The 13,261-nt window shown below is 48.0% G+C and overlaps 1 long non-coding RNA gene across 4 annotated transcripts in view, besides 2 other annotated features; it reads right to left on the minus strand.

The window, feature by feature from the left end:
* Window positions 1–13,261, minus strand: part of LOC105369625 (uncharacterized) — a 71,439-nt gene that overhangs the window by 14,438 nt on the left and 43,740 nt on the right. Inside the window, exons 3-4 of one of the 4 annotated variants that reach the window (XR_001748979.2) lie at window positions 9,817–9,959; window positions 1,240–1,427 (exon numbers count right to left, since the gene is read on the minus strand). This is a non-coding gene — a long non-coding RNA (uncharacterized LOC105369625). Of the gene's footprint in view, window positions 1–441; window positions 1,428–4,818; window positions 5,045–9,816; window positions 9,960–13,261 lie in introns of those variants that run through there. The other 3 variants (XR_001748976.2, XR_001748977.2, XR_001748978.2) reach the window with 3 other exon arrangements.
* Window positions 2,816–3,316: an enhancer, noted in NCBI's record as "H3K4me1 hESC enhancer chr12:6350388-6350888 (GRCh37/hg19 assembly coordinates)". NCBI's record gives its function as "activates a minimal SCP1, AML or CMV promoter by ChIP-STARR-seq in primed H9 embryonic stem cells {active_cell/tissue: H9 hESC(primed)}" and the evidence as "EXISTENCE:reporter gene assay evidence [ECO:0000049][PMID:30033119]".
* Window positions 3,317–3,817: an enhancer, noted in NCBI's record as "H3K4me1 hESC enhancer chr12:6350889-6351389 (GRCh37/hg19 assembly coordinates)". NCBI's record gives its function as "activates a minimal SCP1, AML or CMV promoter by ChIP-STARR-seq in primed H9 embryonic stem cells {active_cell/tissue: H9 hESC(primed)}" and the evidence as "EXISTENCE:reporter gene assay evidence [ECO:0000049][PMID:30033119]".

Consider the following 13,261-nt stretch of genomic DNA (forward strand, 5'->3'; position numbering starts at 1 on the left):
GATCTTGGCTCACCACAGCCTCCACCTCCTGGGTTCAAACAATTCTCCTGCCTCAGCTTCCTGAGTAGCTGGGATTACAGGCATGCACCACCACACCCGGCTAATTTTGTATTTTTAGTAGAGACGGGGTTTCTCCGTGTTGGTCAGGCTGGTCTCGAACTCCCAACCTCAGTTGATCCGCCCGCCTCAGCCTCCCAAAGTGCTGGGATTACAGGCGTGAGCCACCGTGCCCGGCCCCACCTGCATTTATATGAGAAGTAGATTGGGAGGTTGCTCACCCCAGTTTACTAATGAAGAAATCTAGATGTGGAGAGATTAAAGGATTCTGATCCAAAGTCACACAGGTGTCAACAGAGGAGTCAGCACCAGCACCTGGTCCTCAGACGCTCATTCAGCAGTGGGGTATATCTTGGGGATATGACAGTACACCTCACACCATGGTGGCAGGAACTTTGTTTTATTCACTACCTAGCACCTAGTATCTGGTGCATGGTAGTGTTCAGTATTTTTTATCAGTTAATATTTTTTGGTTGAATGAATAAATGAGTGTGTACCCATCAGGGTTTCATCAGAAAAGCAGAACCACTAAGAGGTACTTGTTTGAAGAGATTTGTTGTGGGAATTTGACCTTACACAGTCACTGGCACTGGGGCTGCTTAAGCAGGCTCTGCAGACAATCGGGAAGGACAGACGGATATAAAGTAAGGGAGGACAAGCCCAAGTGGAAGCCCTTGAAGGCAGACACATCCGTCTGTGTCAGTTCTTTTTTGTTTTTTTGAGACAGGGTCTCACTCTGTTGCCCAGGCTGGAGTGTCATGGCCCAATCTCAGCTCCCTGCAGCCTTGACCTTCCTGGTCTCAAGCAAATCCTCCCAACTCAGCCTCCCAAGTAGCTAGGACTACAGGCATGAGCCACCACACCTGGCTAATGTTTGTATTTTTTGTAGAGAAGGGTTTTGCCATGTTGCCCAGGCTGGTCTTGAACTCCCGGTCTCAAGCAATCCACCTGCCTTGGCCTCTCCAAAGTGTTGGGATTACAGGCGTGAGCCACTGCACCCGGCCCCATGTCAGTTCCTGCCTCTGCTGAGGTGAGCCAGCAGAGAAGCCACAATTCGTGTGAGCTGTAAAATGACTGCTGCTTCACTTCCCACCTCCAAACCTTCCACAAGTTTCTCCTCTGTGCTCCACTCTAACCGGAAACACACGGGAAGGGAATTCTGGGAAGTGTGGTTCAGCTTACCCAGGTGGACAGATCACAAAGCCACCGCTGCATGGGAGGTGTGATCCGTGCCCAGACTGCACTGTCGTGGGCAATTCGGAGGCAAGCAGGCAATGATGGCAGAGTGGGATGAACAGGAGAAAGGTGAAGTGCAGAGGCATAAGAAACCGATTTTTATGTTCCACTCCTTGATTCCATTTGGGTTCCTCCTTAACATTACAAAAAGAAAACCAGGAAAGAAGGATCAAAATGTCCCTGAATGCCATTACATTCAAACATCAGAACACCAAAGTTGATAGCAGCATTATTCACAACAGCCAAAAGGTGCAAACTCAAGTGTCCTTCAACAGATAAATGGATAAACAATACGTGGCCTATCCATATGATGGGCTAGAATTCCACCTTAAATGCTGCAACATGGATGAATCTTGAGTACGTTATGTTCATTGAAATAAGCCAGACACAAAAGAACAAATATTCTACAATTCCCTTGATAGGAGGTACCTAGAATTGGTAAATTTATAAAGAAAGTAGATTAAAAGTAACCAGAGGCTAGGGAGAAGGGAAAATAGGGAGTTATGGTATAATGAGTACAGAGTTTCTGTTTGGGATAATGAAGAAGTTCTGGAAATAGATGGTGGTGATTGTTGCAAAACTTTGTGAATATACTTAGTGCCACTACATTATATGCTTAAAAATTGTTAAAATGGGCTGAGCACAGCGGCTCACACCTGTAATCCCAGCACTTTGGGAGGTTGAGGTGGGAGGATTGCTTGAGCCCAGTCCAAGACCAACCTGGGCAACATAGTGAGACTGCAACTCTACAACAAAAAAAACTGGCTGGGCATGGTGGTGCACACCTGTGGTCCCAGTTACTTGGGATGCTGAGTTGGGAGGATCACCTGAGCCTGGGAGGTCAGGGCTACAGTGAACCAGGATCTCACCATTGCACTCCAGCCGAAGCAACAGAGCAAGACGCTGTCTAAAAAAAAGAACAAAAAAAGGGTCAAAGTGGTAAATTGTGTATTATATTTTACTAAACACACACAAAAAAATAGCTGGTTTGGCATTATTGAGTGTCCTTGCTGCTCTGTGGCCCTAGGTCCCTTATTAATCTGACGGCTGACGACTGTTCCCGTTGTGGAAGTAACAGGTCAACCATTAATTTTATTTTATTTTATTATTTTTGGGAGATGTCGTCTCGCTTTGTCTCCCAGGCTGGAGTGCAGTGGCATGATCTCGGCTCACTGCAACCTCCGCCTCCCAGGGTCAAGCCATTCTCGTGCCTCAGCCTCCCGAGTAGGTCGGACTACAGGCACCCACCACTATGCCCAGCTAATTTTTGTATTTTTAGTAGAGAAGGGTTTTGCCATGTTGGCCAGGCTGGTCTTGAACTCCTGACCTCAGGTGATCCACCCGCCTTGGCCTCCCAAAGTGCTGGGATTACAGGCGTGAGCCACCACGCCTGGCCAACCATTCATTTTATATAGGAATGGAGGAGACCCCTGCGTGTAACCTCCAGCTCCTTCTAGAGAAAGCAGGTCTCAGAGGCTACGAGCACATTCCATGCTGCAGCTTTGCTGAAGGGTAGGTTAGCGTGGAACAGACTGCAGCTACTTAAATCCTGGAACACCTCGGGGCTATCTATATCCTGCCTTTCTGTTTGTTGTTAATAATGTAAGGACAAATGGGCTAGCTTAAGCAAAAGTGAGCAATTAACGCAAGAATGAAAATGGTTGAGCCTTAGGAAGATTCCAGAAACATGGACCAAGAACTCCTACAGCTCTCCATTTCTGCGCTACTATATTTTGCTCTTCGAGGAGACCAACTTTGTTACTCAGCCGCTTCCCGACCGGCTGCCCCCCAGCTCCCAAGCTTACACAGAGGCAACCTCCATTAGCCCCACTTGAAGTTTTAGGAGAGAAAATTTTGACCCAGTTTGAGTCAAATGTCTACCTCTGTTCCTTCAGCTAGCAGCGGGCAGGGAGGGGTGCGTGGAGGAAACACTCAGCCACCCTCTGTGACCTGCTGATTGGGCCCAGCGCCAGAAGACAAGGGATCATTGAAAGCTGGCAGACATCCCAAAAGGAGCTGGCTGTCCACAATCAGGCCGAAACGAGCCTCCCTTGACTCTTGGCGGACAGGGCCAGGTGTAGCTCTGCAGTTTAGGGAGAACCAGGACAGCCTGCTGCTCTCGGGTCCTGAAGGGCCTTGGAGCAAAGGCCTTTAGGAAGTTTTAGGTCACAAAAAGGCAACAGACACTGCCAAAAGCAACAACTGCTTTGGGTCCAGAAAGAATCTCCTTGAGCATAAGAGAAGCAGTTGTATGGAGGTGTTGGCCTCTTGGCTCAACTGTGAAAAGCAGCCCAGGGGCAACAAATTTGAATCAAAGCAGCTGGATTTAGTAAAAGGCTATTACTTTACCCAGTGCCCTCAAGGACTGAAAGTGCTTTAATATCCATAAACCCCCCGGACTCTCCTCCCAAGGCCCTACTCTCCAAAACCACGTCCTCCAGAGGGAGTTGAGTGGCCAAGGGTGGGGCCAAGACTCCACATAGATCCAGGGGCTCATTCCATGATGCTCTCATTTCCTAGAGTCCTCCAGGTGTACAGGGAATTGTTTCACTGACAGACAGGCCAGGATATCTCATAAGCTTCTTGGGCACAAGTTGGAGTGGTATGGGTGGAATTCCAGCACAATTAGGCATATCGTGGTTGGGTGAACACAACCATACAAGGGGGAGAGGTCTCTACCAGTGGCCTGTGCAGTCCTGCCATGTTCTTTCCTGGTCAATGTTTTAAATGATAACTTGGAATACTACTAAATACAGCCGGGCGCAGTGGCTCACGCCTGTAATCCCAGCACTTTGGGAGGCTGAGGTGGGTGGATCACTTGAGGTCAGGAGTTCAAGACCAGCCTGGCCAACATAGTGAAACCCCATCTCTACTAAAAATACAAAAAATTAGCCAGGCATAGTGGCAGGCACCTGTAATCCCAGCTACTCGGGAGGCTGAGGCAGGAGAATCGCTTGTACCCGGGAGGTGGAGGTTGCACAGAGCCAAGATCGCACCACCACTGTACTCCAGCGTGGGCAACAGAGTGAGACTCTGTCTCAAAAACAAAACAAAAAAACAGGCGGGGCACAGTGGCTCATGCCTGTAATCCCAGCACTTTGGGAGGCCGAGGCAAGCGGATCATGAGGTCAGGAGATGGAGACCATCCTGGCCAACATGGTGAAACCCCATCTCTATTAAAAATACAAAAATTACCTGAGCGTGGTGGTGCGTGTCTGGAATCCCAGCTACTCAGGAGGCTGAGGCAGGAGAATCGCTTAAAACCAGGGAGTCGGAGGTTGCAGTGAGCTGAGATCGCGCCACTGCACTCTAGCCTGGCAACAGTGAGACTAGGTCTCAAAAAGGAAAAAAAAAAGACTTTTACTAAATACTGTATTATTATATGCATATTTCACAAGGCTCTGAGAAATACCCAGTACTTTGAGTAACAGACGTATAGTTCAAAGAGATCTCAGAGACTGGAATAATAGAATATGACACCCAAAGGATATATCTCAACAGGAATAAGTAAACAAAATCAAGCAATCCATACAATACGTTTAGCAGCCCTTCGTCCTTACCACAGCACTTTAAGTTAGCCGGGCAAGCATACATTTGGCTGGTTGGGTAACAGCCGAATTCTCATATGTTAAGTCTGGAGGGAATTAGAAGTGTTGATTTAGCAGCTCTGCTCTGTGGAAGATGGCATCTCTGTGATTCTCTTGGCTTGTATCCCACGGTCATAAGGTAGCTGCTGCGGCTCCAGCCATTCCTACATTCACAGGTAGAGGTAGGGGAAGAACGACTGCTAAGGCCGGGCGCGGTGGCTCATGCCTGTAATCCCGGCACTTTGGGAGGCCGAGGCGGGTGGATCACGAGGTCAGGAGATCGAGATCATCCTGGCCAACGTGGTGAAACCCTGTCTCTAATAAAAATACAAAAAAATTAGCTGGGCATAGTGGCGGCCGCCTATAGTTCCAGCTACTTGGGAGGCTGAGGCAGGAGAATGGCATGAACCTAAGAGGCAGAGCTTGCAGTGAGCCGAGATCATGCCACTGCACTCCAGCCTGGGCTACTGAGTGAGACTCCATCTCCAAATAAAAAAAAGAACAACTGCTAGCCGCAATGATCTCTTCTATCTCAAATGCAAAAGCTTCCCCTGGCAAGCTGGAAGTCAACTCACATTTGTACATCATTGACTAGAAATCTGTCACATGGCTACTCATAGCTATAAGGGAGACGGAAAATATGAGCATTTAGATTTCTTTTCAGTCTATAGTGAAGTTTGGAAAACGACAAGTGAGTTAAAGGTATCGTATTCCATTTCACATTTGGAGAAAACATAGGGTTGAGAGAAGTTAAATATTTGCCCCAATATCGTATAGTTAATAGGCTGGATACAGGTTTGAATCCAGGACTATCTTTCTCCCAGTTTCACTGCATATTTCGCACAGTGCTGCCTTCCAGGATTAATATCACAGGAGGAAACTTGACAGGGACATCCTGGAACATCTTTTGAGTGGAAGAACCCATTACATAAATGCAGGATGAAGAAAAAATTTCATTTGAAAAAGATGTGGAAATTTAGCTTGCCACAAACTTAATAGAAGCCAAAACTGAAGAGAGGATGCATCCAGAGAAGTGTCCAGATGGAGACAACTGAGCCACAGATGTGATAGTCAGCCCTAGGGGAATATGGTGCTCTGTTCTGGGGCGATTCCTCAAGAAGAAAGTTGACCATCTACAGACACCTGGAGAGGACAGAACTTTTTTGGGAGGGTAGGCGGCCTGCCTAAAAACCTTGTCACCCAAGAGGAGAGTGAAGCACCAGGGGATTGTAGCCTGGGGGAGGGGTCATCCAACAACACAACTGTCTTCGTTTTCAAATATCTTAAGGGCTGTAAGATGAACCAGAATGTATGTTGTCCCAGAGGCCAGAATGAGAACTGATGGGCAGAACTCTCCGGTAAGATTTTGGCTGAACATAAAGGAAACCCCTTTAAACCAGGGCTGTCCAGCAGAGAAAATGCTCCCCATGAGTGGAGGGCCCCAGGACATAGAGGGGACTCCAGGAAAAGCTACAGAGAAGATGTTGCTGATTCCTGCACCCATGGGAACTTGATGCCCTCCATCTCTAGGAGCTTATAAAAATGTGAGTCTGCAAGCAAATACCCAGGAAAAGCAGCTCTCTCCCCCTCTATATTCATTTACGGGGTGGGCGTGAGGGAAGGACCGCTAGTAAAAATTAAGTAATAGGAACAGTGAACATTTTTATGGGAAACCCCAAAATATTTCAAAATAATATTTTATCTCTGAAATTGTTGCTTTTTTTTTTTTAATATTCGATGCCATGGTTGGGCTCTTTAAGATGCAAGGAAGAGAGCATTCAAAGCCTTAAATGAGCTTGGTGGAAGGATATTCATCATCTCAACAGCTATACCACCACTCAGGAGTTTCTGCACTTTCTAAGCTGAATTCTGCAGAGACCCGAGACAGTAGTTCATGGGAGTCCTGCATATGGCATCTGCCCCAGCATCTCCACTTCTCTTTGCATCTCACAGGCAAGCTCCTTTAGCAGGAAGGATCTAAGTAGGTAGTTTGTCTCCAACCAATAAGACGCAGCCTTATTGGCACCCCTTGGCAGAACACTACCAATCCCTGGTCCAATTGCCTGTGGCCAGGGAACAGCACTGATGTTCGGGATGCTCCACAGCCTTCCAAGCACAAAAATGTAGGCAGAAAGAACGCCCTGGTGCCGAGACCAGCTCGGTTGGGGAGACCCTAACCCAGTGGCACTAGAGGAATTAAAGACACATACACAGAAATATAGAGGTGTGAAACGGGAAATCAGGGGTCTCACAGCCTTCAGAGCTGACAGCCACGAACAGAGATTTACCCACGTATTTATTAACAGCAAGCCAGTCATTAGCATTGTTTCTATAGATATTAAATTAACTAAAAGTATCCCTTATGGGAAACCAAGGGATGGGCCGAATTAAAGGAATAGGTTGGGCTAATTAACTGCAGCAGGAGCATGTCCTTAAGGCACAGATCGCTCATGCTATTGTTTGTGGTGTAAGGAACACCTTTAAGCGGTTTTCCACCCTGGGCAGGCCAGGTGTTCCTTGCCCTTATTCTGGTAAACCCACAACCTTCCAGCATGGGCGTTATGGCCATCATGAACATGTCACAGTGCTGCAGAGATTTTGTTTATGGCCAGTTTTGGGGACAGTTTATGGCCAGATTTTGGAGGGCTTGTTCCCAACACCCTGGGACACATTTCTGGTTCAAGCTGACGGGCTCAAGTACTGCCTGGGACGGCCATTCTGACTGAGCTCACAAGGTAGTGTTTGTTTGTTTGTTTTGAGACAGAGTTTTGCTCTTGTTGCCCAGGCTGGAGTGCAATGGCAGGATCTTGGCTCGTCGCAACCTCCACCTCCCGGGTTCAAGCGATTCTCCTGCCTCAGCCTCTGGAGTAGCTGGGATTACAGGCATCTGTCACCACACTCGGCTAATTTTGTATTTTTAATAGATACGGGGTTTCTCCATGTTGGTCAGGCTGGTCTTGAACTCCTGACCTCAGGTGATCCACCTACCTTGGCCTCCCAAAGTGCTGGGATTACAAGTGTGAGCCACCGCACCCGGCCTGTTTTTTGTTTTTGTTTTTGTTTTCAGACGGAGTCTCGCTCTGTTGAGCAGGCTGGAGTGCAGTGGCGCTATCTCGGCTCACTGCAAGCTCCGCCTCCCGGGTTCACGCCATTCTCCTGCCTCAGCCTCCAGAGTAGCTGGGACTACAGATGCCCACCACCACGCCTGGCTAATTTTTTGTATTTTTAGTAGAGATGGGGTTTCACCATGTTAGCCAGGATGGCCTTGATCTCCTGACCTCATGATCCACCCGCCTCGGCCTCCCAAAGTGCTGGGATTACAGGCGTGAGCCACTGCGCCAGCCCCACATGGTAGTTTTGATACCCCAAGGGGCTTTGGTGTCTCAGAGTAAATAGCCCTGACATTCTTGTCAAACAGCACCTGATGAGAGCTGTTTTTCTTAATCATTCTCCTTAAATTGACCACACTCCAAAAGAGGTAAGACTGTGTGTGGGGCTTTTTGAGAAAGAGAGGTTACCAAGAGGGTCTGTGAGCCATAGAAAGTCAAGTGGCAGAGTCAGCTACAGGTTCACCATTCCCAAGCCAGGCATCATTAGAGTCTAAGGACTTTATTCCACCAATCTGAGCTCTCTCCTGTCCCCTTCAGCCATGATTTGAACCCACCCAGGGATAAGGGACCCCGGGGTGGCTTCCACCCTACCCACCTTCAGTCTTTAGGCCGCTTTGGTGAGGCCTCAGCATCTAATGTAATTGTCTTCACTCAAGTCTTGGCCATCAGACCCCTGGAGAGCTAATTTGATTTCTTTCCTTTTAAATTAGATTTCCCCAAACCATCTGCTTCCACTGTGGAAATGCAGGCAGGATCAGCTTTTTTTTTTTTTTTTTTTTTTTCAGACGGAGTCTTGCTCTGTCGCCCAGGCTGGAGTGCAGTAGCATGATCTCAGCTCACTGCAACCTCTGCCTCCTAGGTTCAAGCCATTCTCCTGCCTCAGCCTCCTGAGCAGCTGAGATTACAGACGCATGCCACCACACCCGTCTAATTTTTTGTATTTTTAGTAGAGACAGGTTTTCACCGTGTTCCCCAGGCTGGTCTCAAGCTCCCGAGCTCAGGCAATCCACCCGCCTCGGCCTCCCAAAGTGCTAGGATTACAGGCGTGAGCCACCATGCCTGGTGAGGATCAGCTCTTATTCCAGTATAGAATCTCCACTACTCTGCAAGGAGTCGAGGACCCAGAGCTGACCTGGCCAAGCAAGGCAGTGTGTGACCCAGTGAGGCTAACACACCCGGCAAGGACAGGCAGCGGTGCTCATAGACCTCAGCATAGTTTGGGCTGAACAACTGATCCTCTGTACCACACTGGGAGCTGGGGAGGCATGGGGATCATTCTCTATTCTTAACATATGGAGAAACAGGGCCAAAGAAAAGGGTCACTGATGCCGGGACCACAAAGCTCCAGCCAGCCTGGAGAAGAGCATGGTTACAGTAGAAAGCACAGAGACATGGGAAATAGACCTATGTACAACTTATGTCTCAGACACTCGACTAGCGTGTCTTCGGCCTCAGTTTCCTCATATAAATTGGAGCTAATAAAACATATCAGGCCAGAGCCAGGCGTGGTGGCTCACGCCTGTAATCCCAGCACTTTGGGAGGCCAAGGCAGGTGGATCACGAGGTCAGGAGATCGAGACCATCCTGGCTAATATGGTGAAACCCTGTCTCTACTAAAAATACACAAAATTATCTGGGCATGATGGTGGGTGCCTGTAGTCCCAGCTACTTGGGAGGCTGAGGCAGGAGAATCACTTGAACCCAGGAGGTGGAAGTTGTGGTGAGCTGAGATTATACCACTACACTCCAGCCTGGGCAACAGAGTGAGACTCTGTCCCAGAAAAAAAAAAAAAAAAAAAAAAAGAGAGACAGTAGAGATCATATACCTGAGTAGGTGCTGGGTTCATCTGCAGATCAGTTATGCACCTCCTGAGCCTTCTTGCTGTGGCAATGCTGGGTGGCCGTGGCTTCCATGAACTCCCATGAGGAGTTGGGGTTGCTCAGTGGGATGCGGGCCAGAGTCACGATGCTGACATGAGATGATACAACTTTGATTAAGGTTTATGGTAAAGTCACAGCTTTGTTTAAGACTGCACTAAAACTGATGACATTTCCGAAGCTTCTGACCAAAAATGTGGAGCACATAAAAGAAAGTCAGTTAAGGTTAAGAAGCATTAGAGCCGGGCACAGCGGCTCACACCTGTAATCCCAACATTTTTTTAAATTTTTATTTATTTATTTATTTTTTTGAGATGGAGTCTCACTCTGTCACCCTGGAGTGCAGTGGCACAATCTTGGCTCACCACAACCTCTGCCTCCCGGGTTCAAGCAATTCTCCTGCCTCAGTCTCCTGAGTAGCTGGGATTACAGTCATGCGCCACTACGCCCGGCTAATTTTTTGTATTTTTAGTAGAGACACGGTTTTGCCATGTTGACCAGGCTTGTCTCGAACTCCTGACCTCAAGTGATCCACCCACCTCAGCCCAAAGTGCTGGTATTATAGATATAAGCCACTGCACTCGACCCTGATCCACTTTTCTTAATCTTTTCTTAAAAGAGTTATCAGTGATGAAGAAAATGAGCAGGAGAATGAAGATGAAATGCAAAGACAGTATTCAGCAAATTAAAGTTAGGAATCCCCTGAATCTCTTGGAAACAAGAGAGCTGGTTTCCTGAGTATTTGCTTGGAGATCCACATTTCTCTAAGCTCTTGGAGATGGAAAGCACATAGGAGTTCAAGTCCCCATCAGTGCTGGAATCAGCAACACTTTATCTCTAGCTTCTCCGGGAGCCCTCACTGGCATGGATACCTCTCCATCACAATCCCCTGATGTTGAAAGAGACTCAGGGGAACTTCTAACTCTTCTGCCATGCACCCTGCCCCAGCCAGACCTAGAAAAACCTAGACCCAAATTCAGTGGCCACCACCATTTTATATCAGGCTGCCCTTCATTTCCTTCTGGACCAGCACGGAGTCCCCCATCACCTCCCATGTTCCCAGATCCTCCTGCAGATACCAAAGTGTTGGAAGGTGTAATAGGCGTTTGGTCACGAATGACATCTTGACCACTCTCTGGGTTTAAAGCAAATACAGAGGAGGAGGGTAATAGCACTTCAGTTATTTCAAATCTCTCTCTCCCAAGGAGAGGAGTATGTTTTCGGCCCTGGCTGACACAAGCAAATGTTTCATCATTTTCTCTATAATAAGAGTTAGCTATTATATCTAGTATAATTTATATCTCCTTACAATTGTAGTAGGTTGGAAATTGTTGAATAACCAATGTATAAACACAGTCTAGCCAAGAAAACAGAATCCAAAACAGGTAATTCATCAGAGAGAATTTAATATAGGAAACTGGTTAAGCAAGTATTGAAAAACCACTAAGAGAACAAAGAAGTAATGCAGAAATCATAGCCAGGGAAAACAGCTGGCAGCCCTAGGGCTGCGGAACAGAAGGAAGAGATGGGATTATCAGATTCTAGAAGCCCAGAGGAGGGGCTCTGCAGAGTTGGGGCTCAGACCTTGAGGAGGGGGCATGTCCCAGCTGTTGCTGGTGACTCTGGGGGCTGTGGAGAGGCGACTCTTAAAACTTTCCTGAGGTGAGCAAGCAAGAAAGGAAAAGCTGGCCACCTCCTCTTCCCCACAGCCTGGCTTCTCCCAGCAGAGGGAAAGCTGTCATAACTTGAATATAATCGGAATCTTTGACAGTTACCTACAATTGAGCATCATCATTCTAGAATTAAGACTGTGTTTTGCAGCTTGAAGTCACTATGGGACTTCACCCTAAAAGGGATCAAGAAAGTCTGAGACTGGTCACATATCTATCTTGAGCCAGGGAACAACTACCCCTACTGACCACAATTTAGGAAAAACGTGAGACAGAAGAAAGGTGCTTTAAGATCGCAACCCACAAACCCTGCTTGTTCCACCTACCAGATGCAAATACAACATGCTTGGCACATAGGAAACACAAAATACACGGCATTTTTCCTATGGAATCCTATTGACTGAAATGTAAGAGTGTTGAACTCCACCTCACCAAAAGATTACAAAATCCTCGGGTTCCAGTTGTGCCAGGAGCAGGGTTGTCCGAAAGTGACTCTGAGCTGGGTTGCATGCACGGAGAGCTCATTGGGATCCAGGATTCCCCTTCTCTGAGTGGGAGGAGCCACCCCAAGCTCAGCTTCCCACAACTAGTAGCTTAACAGGGAATTGCAGCATTCCCTGGTCCAGGAGTCTCCGGGGCCTGGGCTTGTTCCGGCAGCTGTCACCAGTTAGCACTTAAATCCAGACTGCCTGGCCCCAAGCAGTCTGTGGGTCCTTCCCTTAATAAGGCTACTTTCATTATTTGCCCTGCAAATAAATGCCAGGGTCCCTTCTCTGGAACATGACAACTCTGTCTTGCCGAGCCTTGCTGGACCTGTAAATTTTCCCTTCTCTTACTCCACCTCCTCGGAAATAAATAAAAGGTCTTCTTTTACCCATGCCATTGGACATCGTGGGATTCATCCTCATCCCTGATGCTTTACAGGTGGGGACCCAGATAGAGCCCGTCTTGCACAACGGTTCCAAGTTAACTCCAGGGAACACGTGACAAGGGTAGATTGACTCAGACACACAGGGCCCCTATATTTGGGTCTTCTCTTTCTACCCAAATTTATAGACCTCTTCACACCAAATGCAGACCCTACCCCAACTGGATCTCCTTTGAATCAGCTTTTTTTTTTTCGAGATAGAGTCTCGCCCTGTAACCCAGGCTGGAGTGCAGTGGCGCGATCTCGACTTACCGAAACCTCCGCCTCCCAGGTTCAAGCAATTCTTGTGCCTCAGCCTCCCAAGTAGCTGGAATTACAGGCGCCTGCCATGACATCTGGCTAATTTTTGTATTTTTAGTAGAGACAGGGTTTCGCCACGTTGGCCAGGCTGGTCTTGAACTCCTGACTTCAGGTGATCTACCCGCCTCAGCCTCTCAAAGTGCTGGGATTACATGCGTGAGCCACTGAGCCAGGCCTGAATCAGCTCTTTACCTTAACACATACTGTGCCCACCACCACCCACCTAGAGTCCCTCCCTCTCTTCCTCATGAGGTCCTTCCTTCCCTCCAAGGCCCAGCTCAGAGCCTCCTCAACCCATCATCAGACCTTGTGGCAGAGACCTCTTGCTGATCGTCAGAGGCCCTGCCCCCTTTATGGAGGGTGCAGTCAGTGCTGGAAGGGGCTGCCCAGCCAGTCTCCCTGCATCTGCAAGGGATAATGGGACCACTTCTTGCTGGTGGAATAAAAGTGGAAGTGGTGAGCGTAACTTCCAGCACAGAAGCAGGTGTGTCTTCT

This window comes from Homo sapiens, chromosome 12 (assembly GCF_000001405.40).
Source record: "Homo sapiens chromosome 12, GRCh38.p14 Primary Assembly".
Classification (NCBI taxonomy): domain Eukaryota; kingdom Metazoa; phylum Chordata; class Mammalia; order Primates; family Hominidae; genus Homo; species Homo sapiens.